The 10660-nt window shown below is 41.0% G+C and overlaps 3 annotated features.

The window, feature by feature from the left end:
• Positions 2183 to 2477: an enhancer, noted in NCBI's record as "tiled region #9285; K562 Activating non-DNase unmatched - State 24:Quies". NCBI's record gives its function as "activates a minimal TATA promoter and a strong SV40 promoter by Sharpr-MPRA in K562 cells {active_cell/tissue: K562}" and the evidence as "EXISTENCE:reporter gene assay evidence [ECO:0000049][PMID:27701403]".
• Positions 5571 to 6770: an enhancer, noted in NCBI's record as "BRD4-independent group 4 enhancer chr5:114404076-114405275 (GRCh37/hg19 assembly coordinates)". NCBI's record gives its function as "activates an origin of replication core promoter dependent on BRD2, P300/CBP, MED14 and CDK7 cofactors, and independent of BRD4, by STARR-seq in HCT116 cells {active_cell/tissue: HCT116}" and the evidence as "EXISTENCE:reporter gene assay evidence [ECO:0000049][PMID:35650434]".
• Positions 5956 to 6265: an enhancer, noted in NCBI's record as "active region_22924". NCBI's record gives its function as "activates an Ori minimal core promoter by ATAC-STARR-seq in GM12878 lymphoblastoid cells {active_cell/tissue: GM12878}" and the evidence as "EXISTENCE:reporter gene assay evidence [ECO:0000049][PMID:35858748]".

The following is a 10660-nucleotide window of genomic DNA, read 5'->3' as shown; positions in this document are numbered from 1 at the left end:
CTGGCCAGAACTTCTAATACTATGCTGAATAGGAGTGGTGAGAGAAGGCACCCTTGTCTGGTGCCAGTTTTCAAAGGGAATGCTTCCAGCTTTTGCCCATTCAGTTTGATGTTGGGTGTAGGTTTGTCATAAGTAGCTCTTATTATTTTGAGTTATGTTCCATCAATACCTAGTATATTGAGAATTTTTAGCATGAAGGGGTGTTGAATTTTATCGAAGGCCTTTTCTGCATCTATTGAAATAATCATGTGTTTTTTGTCATTGGTTCTGTTTATGTGATGGATTACATTTATTTATTTGCATCTGTTAAACCAGCCTTGCATACCAGGGATGTAGCTGACTTGATCATGATGGATACACTTTTTGATGGGCTGCTGGATTTGGTTTGCCAGTATTTTATTGAGGATTTTCACATCAATGTTCATCAGGGATCTTGGCCTGAGATTTTCTTTTTTTGTTGTGTCTCTGGCAGGTTTTGGTATCAGGATGATGCTGGCCTCATAAAATGAGGTAGGGAGGAATCACTCTTTTTCTATTGTTTGATATAGTTTCAGAAGGAATGATACCAGCTCCTCTTTGTACCTCTGGTGGATTTCAGCTGTGAATTTGTTTGGTAACGGGCTTTTTTTTTGGTTGGTAGGCTATTAATTACGGCCTCAATTTCAGAACTTGTTATTGGCCTATTCAGGGATTTGACTTCTTCCTGGGTTGGTCTTGGGAGTGTGTATGTGTCCAGGAATTTATCCATTTCTTCTAGATTTTCTAGTTTATTTGCACAGAGGTTTTTATAGTATTCTCTGATGGTAGTTTGTATTTCTGTGGGATCAGTGGTGATATCCCCTTTATTATTTTTATTGTGTCTATTTGATTCTTTTCTCTTTTCTTCTTTATTAATCTGGCTAGCCATGTTTCTATTTTGTTAATCTTTTCAAAAAGATGTTCCGTGTCTCTAGCTCCTTCACTTCTGCTCTGGTCTTAGTTAGTTTTTATCTTCTGCTAGCTTTTGAATTTGTTTGCTTTTGCTTCTCTAGTTTTTTTAATTGTGATGTTAGGGTGTCATTTTTAGATCTTTGCTGCTTTCTCCTGTGGGCATTTATTGCTATGAAGTTCCCTCTAAATGACCTATTATTTTTAAATTCTACTGAGATGGCAGCATCATCTGGGGACATCCCTATCTTAGGTTCTTTTCTAGAAACTGCACTATCTTGAATACACTGGACAAAGATCTATCATTTCTGTGCCCTCATATGAAGATCTAGCTGAAAGGGAAGACTGGGGAGGGCATGCACATCACAATCCCATCTTAGAAAAATGATGTGTGGGAAATTCTATAGCCAGAAGTCTATTCTGGTTTGCTGGCATTCCTCTCCTTAAAAGATTGGTACTTAATATTTCTATTATGATGCAACAAGGTTGGAAGGCAACTGTAGGAGCCATAGAGTCACAACAGTAATCTGTAGATGCTTTAGCTTCAGCAGTAGTACCAAATAGACAAGCCTTAGATGTTCTTACAGCTGAAGTAGGAGGTACCTGTGCACTTTTAAATGAAACATGCTGCTTCTGGATTAACACCTCTAGTCAAGTAGAGGAAAACCTACAGGTACTTAAAGATCACATCGAAATCATTGACAGGCTAAGAGACAATGCGGGCTTCAGCCCTGGGTGGCTACAATCCCTCTTTAATGAATTCCAGTCTTCTTCATGGAATTGGTTAGCTCCTTTATTAAGCCGCCTCTTGCTTACATGTCTTGTATTAATATTTGGACCTTGCATACTCAAATTGTTTCCTCCTGCCTAGAAGCAATCAGACTCCAAGTGGTGCTGCAAACAGAACCATGCATGGAAAAGCCATTCTTTTGAGGACCCTTAGATCAACCCCAGGAGGAACCCTAGCTGTTGTTTTCCACTTGATGCCCCTTTTCAGCAGGAAGTAGCCAGAAAGAGTTGCCGTTCCAAACCCCCTAACAGCAGTTAGGCTGACATCTCCTGAGGGAGAAAATATTACAGGAATTATTAAGAAATTATTTTAGGCAGCTAGAGAGAGTAAAAGAGTCCTTGGTAAGGCTTTTTGTGTAATAAAAACAGTCCCCAAAACATTTCTTTTCTAACAGAAAGCAGCCTGAAAAACCAGATCTGCAAGCATTGATATGCAAATGCTGGTGGCTAAAAGCCAGGTACACACAATATGGTGGTTCCCTCCACTTTTTCTATGTTGCCACGTATGCAGGACATCATGGTGACCAGCCAAGTATAGGCCACATGTGCAGGACATCATGGTGACCTGTCAGGTAGCCACATTTGCATATTAAAAGGCCGGGGTGGGAGGGCCAGTTCTTTCACAGGCTATGTGAATGACACACCTGGTCAAACCAATCCCCTGGGCCCTATGTAAATCAGACACTACTTCCTCCAGCCTCCCAATATAACTGACTGCTTTCTGCAACACATGGAGTTTTTGTTCAGAGCCCTCCTCCCTCTGTATGGGAGTGCTGTTTTCTTCTTTCTTGCCTATTAAACTTTCTGCTGTTTCATCCACTCCACATGTGTTCTTGTCACCAAGGACCCTGGGTGTTTCTCCAGACAATGGAGCTGTATCAGTAGCATTTCCCTTGTGCTGGGCATTTATGTTGTGGCTGCCTGACCTTGGCATTTAGTGATCTGGCCATACCCAGCTTCTGAATGGGTAGCCCTGGTCACGTGGTCTCGTGATTTTTCTGCAGTCCACCATTTAGTCTCTAGCAACATGTTAGAACGTGCTTCTCAAATGGTGAATAACGGTTTGTGTTGCTGTGATGTTTTGTCTCCCACTGGGCTTTTTGGGAGACTCCATATAATAAGTTGTTTATTTGAGAGGTGGTGGCCAGAAGTACTATGAGATAGTGGGGTAGTAAGGCAAGGAAAACCATCAATGAATGATAGACAACCAGACCTCCATCCTGCTGACATGGTATTTGGGACATAGCTGTAATTGTCCCATTGAGGGGCAGGAAGCTTAGGGTATTTATCTGCCAACTCTCCTCCTTCATTGGGTCATTAACTCCTTGGCCCTTTGGCCTGTTGTACACAATAGGCAGACACACTCCTATGGCCAGATGACCTCCTGAGGCATAGGGATGCCAGAAGTCAGCAGCAGGGTGGGCTGAGGTCATAAGCACAGGTCACCCATAGCATCTGCTTTATACTTCTGTATTTCTACAAACTCCTACTGCTTTTAATAATGAATAAACAGTCTTGCCTCAGAAGGGAGTTAGAGGCACAGGTCATGTTACAGTAGAAACAGCAGAACCAAAATGTTTCTTGGACACCTATAGTATGGAAACTAAATTTCACTATGTTCCCCAAATTCCCAGAAATACCCATAATATTGAGATTTTTCTCAGGTCAGGATACTAAGGAAATTAGTTGGCGGTGTTATTAGATGATTTGGAGATAAGTGCTTCGGTGTGCATGTAAAATTCCATAGTAAGGTGCTCTATATGCTTGATTTGTTTGGTCTTAATGGGAATGTATTACATGTAGTATTTTGCTAGAAAGCATGTTTTTGGTGGGTGAGATATGGAGGTTCATCAAAACCAAAACCTTGCCCCTCTGTAGGGAATAAATGTCTTAAAGATGAGTTCTGAAACTAGCAGAAGAAAGTGGTCAATGCTACGTACATATTTCTCTTCTAAGCTCTGAGTGTCTTTGTGAATTGTCTTGTTTGCTACTGCTGAGTGGTTTGCAAATCTGAGCATTTTCCTCAGGCAGGAGTTTTTTCATTGGTTTAAGCTAGAGAAAGGTGAGTAAAGCTGAATTGTAATTGCTTCTGGATGGCAGGAGCAAGAGAATTATAAAATACTGGGCTGTTGATCAACTCCCCCTACTTCTGCTCATGCCCTTGTCTTCCCTGCCAAGCATCAAACTGTCAGATGCTCTCCTTTAAGGGTGATATATTGTCAGAGAAGGCATTGTTTTCCCTACAAAGTCATTGGTTGTAGATTTCATTTCTGGCTCTGTAGCAATGGGTTATACCTGGGTTCCAACTACTCTATCTCTAGACCTTCAACCAATTCTTTTTTCTCTAGCCGCACGCCCTACCCCTGCCTTTGATGTCAGATGCCTTTAGATGAACAGGATCTCAGGGACCTGTTTCACATGCTTCTTAGCAGCACCGCTGTCTGTGGGCAGTGAGGTAAAAATGCCATCACTCTGTAAAGTCTACCCTTACTCAAGTTTCTGCAAATGAGTTTAAATCCCTTGCCTGCTGTTGTGTCCTCTCACATTCTCTTTGTCCTTGTGAGTAATATATTTTTTATTTTGTTGTTGTCATTTTGAGTGTCAGGAGGGGAAGGAAATGATTATGTGTGGTCAATGTGTTATGATTAACTTGAAATTCATCTGCACTTTAAACAGAGAAGAGGTCATACAATCTGAAATTTTTCTAAAACCCATGAGGCATTTTTTTTCTAGTTTCTGACAAGTGAGAAGGAAGGAAAATGAGAAGGACTGGTCAGTTTTTCTTCCTTATTGTCATCTTTTCTCAAGATGTACAGAACGCTGGGGCACAAAATTAAAGCTTAAAAAAGAGTCATTTTGGAAGGGATTGCTATTTGTGAGATGTTTATGATGTGAGGATGTGGATATAAGACATTGAAATCAAATTTGCATGACATGCTTTTGATATGTTTAATATTTTTAGAAATTTATAATTTTATATGAGCTAGGCAAATATCGTTTTTTAGAAAACCTTTCAGTTTGCAGGTCAGTAAAAATGTTAACGTAAGGGTTTAGTTTAGGCTTTTACATTTGATTGGTGTTTGTTCAATTGGGCTCACAGATTCAAGATCCAGGGAAAGAGAAAGAAGATGCTTTATTGTGCACTTTGTCCACAGCCCTACTGCTGTGGGCCCTGTGTTCTTGATGATGTCTGCTGATAGACTGAGCTGGGAAGTTCCTCCTTGGCTGTCTTTAGGAATTTTCTCTGGGAAGTTCAAATTTTCTCCTTCTCTCTGATGCTATTCTTTTTGTGCATTTTCTTCTTTTTATTTCTTAAAAAATCCCAAACTCTTCTATTCTCCCAGCTTTATTGAGGTATGATTGACAAATAAAAACTGTATATATTTAAGGTGTACAAGGTGATATCTGATACACCCATACCTTGTGAAAAGATTACCACAATTGAGCTAATTAACATATCCATCACCTCACTGGTGTGTGTGTGGTAAGAACACTTGAGATCTACTCATTTAGCAAATTTCAAGTATACAAAACAGTATTATTAACTATAGTCACTATGCTGTACACTAGGTCTCCAGAACTTATTCATCCTGTAGTTTCTTAACAGAAGGAGATCTTCTGCCAATGAGGGGCATAAAGACCATTGATTTGTTCATACTCTGTTTTCAAGAAGAAACAGATCTTAACAGTGCCTTAGAGGAGAAAGCCTCCTTTGACTGCTTCCAGTCTTTCTGTAGGTGTCTGGCAGATCTGGGCCTTGAGAGATCTAAAACTAGAAACTAAGGGCTAGAATATTTAGCAGAGGCATCGTGTTCAATTCTTGTCATTCCTTTTCTGTCTTTGCTCCTGGATTCTTGCTCCTGTTTCTTGCCAGTAGGTGGCAAGCTAGGCCTGGGAAAAACAGCAAGAACTTGAGGGTTGTGTGGAGTTGGTTTTGATCTTGCAGGGTTATTGTGTGGGACTGTGAAGAATTCCCTGAAAGAAACAAAGGGTTTACTTGTGGGAATCTCCTCAGGCTAGATAGAGGGTCATCTTAGTATTAATTTTAAAAAAAGATACCTGCATATTTATGCCTAACACATATATAAACATACACTAATAAACCTTTATTATGAAAATGTTATTAGCTCACGCATGTTAACTGTTCTAGGCATCCGGTTCATGACATGGGGTTCCAGACAGATCTACAAAAGAGAGGGTTGATTGGGTTGATGGAGTTCCAGACTAATGGAACTGTGGAAGGGTTGACTGGGCTCAAATCAGAGGCAAGGACTTAGGATAGTGCAGACCCCCCCAAATAGAAAATGTGGTAAAAAATAAAAAAAAACAGAGATTGGAGTCAGTTTGAGGGACTAAGTGGCTAAGTTGGCTTCCTGGGTCAACAGGGACTTCCCTAAGGGGACTTTCCCCTAAGCCAAAATGAGTCATAGCTGCAAGCTAAGGGATTGAAAGTTCAACCAATCAAAGGCGACTTTCCCCTCAGCCAAAATGAGTCACAGCTGTAAGCTAAGGGATTGAAACTTGAACCAATCACATAGGGAGTTTAAGCTCTAGCTGCAGCTTGATGTTTTTAACCAATCAGGCCCGCCAACCCACAAGCGGATAGAAATAGCTAATTCTATAGGACAGAAAAAGGAGAAGAGGAGGGGTCATAAGGGGATATAAGCATAAGACACCCAAGCCAGAAACGGCAACCCTTATGGGTCCCGTCCACCGTGTGTGAGCTTTACTTTCGCTTTCTCTTTAATAAATCTTGCCACTGCATACTCTTTGGGTCCCCGCGTTTCTCTAATTGAGCTGTGATACTTGCCGCTGCGGTCCACGGCTTCATTCCTTGAAGCTTGTGAGACCACGAACCCTTCAATGGAGAAAAACCTTCGATTGGAAGAAGACTTCTCCTCTCAAGTTCACCAAGTCAAAGCCAGGGACTGTGGTCAATGAAGGCAGCTTAGCTAAGCCAGAAGTAGGAGACAGAGAGAAGCATGGTACTGTGGATGCATGAACTGGGCATGACTGGGCAGGAAGGGCTGTATCTGGTGTGTCCCTGATCCCAGCTGCCATAATCCCATCTGCCCTGGGCCTGCTGGTTTGGTTCTTGGCAGATGTCTAGTGAGATGGTTAAGGGCATAGGTTTTGAAGTTGGAGTGACTTGGGCTTGAATTCCAGCTCTGCCACCTCATAGGATTGTGACCTGGGGCACCCTACATAACATCTCTGAGCCTTTGATTCTCATCTTCCAGATGTGATAATTGACAGAGCAGGAGCACCATCATCTCAGACAAACCTTTCCCTTCAGGTGCACTAAGATAGGGAAACTAAAGGCAAACTCGGGGGATATGCCTGCAGCTGCAGAAAGAGGTATGGGAACAGACACACAACTCTCCCTCCCAGATAAGCACAACAAAGAAACACAGAAGCAGTCCAAGCCTCTGATAAACTCTCCCTCCCTGAATCCTTAAAAACTCTTAGTCTATAAGAAAGTGCAGCTTCTGACTAACTCTGTCAGAAGTCCCTCCATGGTTGGAAATAAACCTGTTGACTGTTGAGCCACCCTTCTTGTTTCTCTCCTCTTTCTTTAATTCTTATAATAATAGCACTTAGTTCAAGGGTTGTTTTCAAAGTTAAATGAAAAGGGCATATTACTGTTCCTGGAACCAATGAGGTGGTTAACAAATGGTACCTTCTAGTATAATTATTCATTTAATAAAGGATAATAAAAAGAAAAAGGAAAAAGGAGAGGCATCTCATAAATCTAATTTTTGGTCACGAGGGGAAATCTTTATAAATACAGATTATGAGACTTCTCATAAATATAATCTTTAGTTATAAGTGGGAAGGAAACACTCCAAATGCCTGTCCTGCCCTAGGAGGGTAGGTCACATCTTCCTATAGACAGCACAGTATCTTTTCTTTTTGCTTGTGATGGATGGGAATACTCAGAGCACCTCTCAGTAGCACACCAGGTACATCACCTAGGTTGATGAATGCAGACAGCCTGAGCACAGAATACCTTGAAGGTAGCACTAAAAATGCTGTTTAGCTTATATGGAGGTACACATTCTTTGATATTCACTGTTTATTTTTGTTTTATTTCTATCAGCAGTTATTTTCTAGCACATATTTAGCCTCATTTAGGAATCAAATAAATGCTCAGGACATTCCCAGATATACTTTTAAATAAAATGATGATACGTAGTGGAGGGCAGACCCTAGGAAGAGGGCAGGGCCTTTATTCCTCCTCCTTCTCAGCTTCCCACTCAAACCGTCTCTTCTGGGATGAACAGCATCACCCCTTAGACCCACACACCAGCCTTCACAGTGGGAAGTTTTGAATATGTCAGTGGATGGAATTTGTTTTGTGTCCAAGTGTGTTGAGTGTCGTGGCCAGCTTTTAAATCACTGAGTTAGAATATAGACATTCTGATTTTTAAATCTCACACTTTGAATGTTACTGTGGTTCAACTCGTTAGCGCTGTTCAATTGAGAGCAGACAATTATGGTAAACCTGTAAGCTTATGTGTGTGTAAGGGGCACCTGTGGTCTTCTCCTTCCAAGTTTTTTGTTGAAGCTCTGCTGGATAGAACAGATAGGTAGCCTACTTCCGACACCAGCCAGTTATGCCCCACAGAGGTAAGCTCTATTCCACAGCCTCAAGAGCCTCCTGAATGCAGACAACAAAGGTGTGAAGTTTGATCAGAGGGAGACATAAAGATAACAGCATGGGAGGTGAACCAAGGCCTTATTAAAAGTAACTGCCAGAACCACCATCCCATTCAAGATATGTCAGTTGTGTTATTTATTTATACAAAGTCTAGCACCCTCAGTTAAAATACACAATTTTACATTTTCTATTTATTTTAAAAATGTGATCTAATCAAACCAATTCTGTGAAAATGTCCCTTCACATTTAACAGTATTTTTTTTTTTTTTTTGAGACAGAGTTTTACTCTGTTGCCCAGGTTGGAGTACAGTGGCATGATCTCAGCTCATTGCAACCTCTACCTCCTGGCGTCAAGCAATTCTCCTGCCTCAGCCTCCCAAGTATCTGAGATTACAGGCGTGCACCACAATGCCTGGCTAATTTTTTTTGTATTTTTAGTAGAGACGTGGTTTCACCATATTGGCCAGGCTGGTCTCGAACTCTTGTCTTTGTGATCTGCCCACCTTGGCCTCCCAAAGTGTTGGGAGGCATGAGCCACTGTGGCTAGCCCACATTTACAGTATTTCTGATTTGAAAAGAAGGCAATTGCTGATTTCATGTAAGAGGAGCTTGGGGAGGATTTATGAGAGTGGCATTTCCTTTGTTCCTTGGATCAAAAACTCAAATGACAAGTTTCTGATAGGCTTGACTACTCCTAGGTAACTGCCTGCCTAGCTTTGGTGTAGAATCCCTTGAAGCCATTAGGACTTGATCTGAAATGTTGGTTTCCAGGTTTTCCAGCACCAAACACCTTTCTGTTACTCTCTTTGCTACCACAACTTCAATGACAAGCTATATTTATGAAAGTGTTTCTCATTTCTTTTTTCATGTCTTTGAACTTCTCTAAATATGCAGTTAAATGGCAAAAAGCATTAAATATACTTGTTGAATATGCTGGTCATATTTTTGCGTCTTTGTATCTGTGTGGCTGATGTCTATTAAGATTTTTCATTTACAAAAAGATTGCTCATATTAATCTCTAAGGAGTTCAGGAACCCCAGTTAGGGGTTCATGTTCAATAAATCCTGTATTCTCTGAGTTCGTCCCTCTTTCCACTTCCTCTCCCCAAAGTTTCTCCATTTCAAACAACCTACAGTGATGATCAATGAATACCCTGGTTACTAAAACAACACTTTGTATGCATGATCATAGGATATTTGAAATAGAGATTTTACTGGAAATTCTAGGACACATGATCTTGTTAACCAACATCATAATTTTCACAATAATATCAAGATTTATAGAATCTTAAGCCAGGTGCAGTGGCTCATGTATGTAATTCTAGCGTTTTTGAGGCTGAGATGGAAGGATTGCTTGAGGCCAGGAGTTTGAAACCAGCCTGAGAAACATAGTAAGACCTCATCTCTACAAAAAAAAATTAAAAATAAAAACAAAATATAAAAATTCGGAATCTTAACCATAAGCCTTATGACCAATTTATTAATAAAAATAACTATTTCTATAACTATTAATAAGTATTTCTAGTATTATTGAGAATTTACTTAGAGACTGGACTAAGTCATTTGGGTGCATTAATCTTACATCTTTTTTTTTTTTTTGAGTCCACGTCTCGCTCTGTCACCAGGCTGGAGTGCAGTGACACGATCTTGGCTCACTGCAACCTCCGCCTCCTGGGTTTAAGTGATTCTTCTGCCTCAGCCTCCCAAGTAGCCAGGACTACAGGCACACACCACCATGCCTGGCTAATTTTTGTATTTTTAGTAGAGTCCAGGTTTCACCACATTGGCCATGATGGTCTTGATCTCCTGGCCTCATGATCCGCCCGCCTCGGCCTCCCAAAGTGCTGGGATTACAGGCGTGAGCCACCACACTCGGCCTAATCTTACATCTTACAATACTGTGAAGTAGATGACAGCTTAATTTGCCTGAAGAGGAAAATGAGGCTCAGTCACTTGCTAGGAAGAGGAAGCAGTGGAATGCAGTTCTGTCTGATTATGGAAGTCATGCTCTGAGCCATGGTATTGCTCCTTCATACACGGAAGTTAGGAGAAATCTCAGGTTATGAGGGGGACACTGGTTTGCCTTTGAGCTTATTTCCTTCTAAAGAGACTAAGAAGGGAAGGAACAATTTGTAGTTAGTGTTCTTAGCTTTTGGATCTGCTTTCACTGCAGCACTACCGTTTGGTCTGCCAATACAGTGCTTTGAGGCCAACAAAAGCTTGCTGATGGGAAACTGGATTGCTGTAACCAACTGGGATTTTTCTAGTGTGGCAGTTGGATTTT

Source organism: Homo sapiens, chromosome 5, assembly GCF_000001405.40.
Source record: "Homo sapiens chromosome 5, GRCh38.p14 Primary Assembly".
In the NCBI taxonomy this organism is placed as follows: Eukaryota; Metazoa; Chordata; class Mammalia; order Primates; family Hominidae; genus Homo; species Homo sapiens.
The sequence above is the reverse complement of the archived record's forward strand: the minus strand, read 5'-3'. Positions and strand labels throughout refer to the sequence as shown.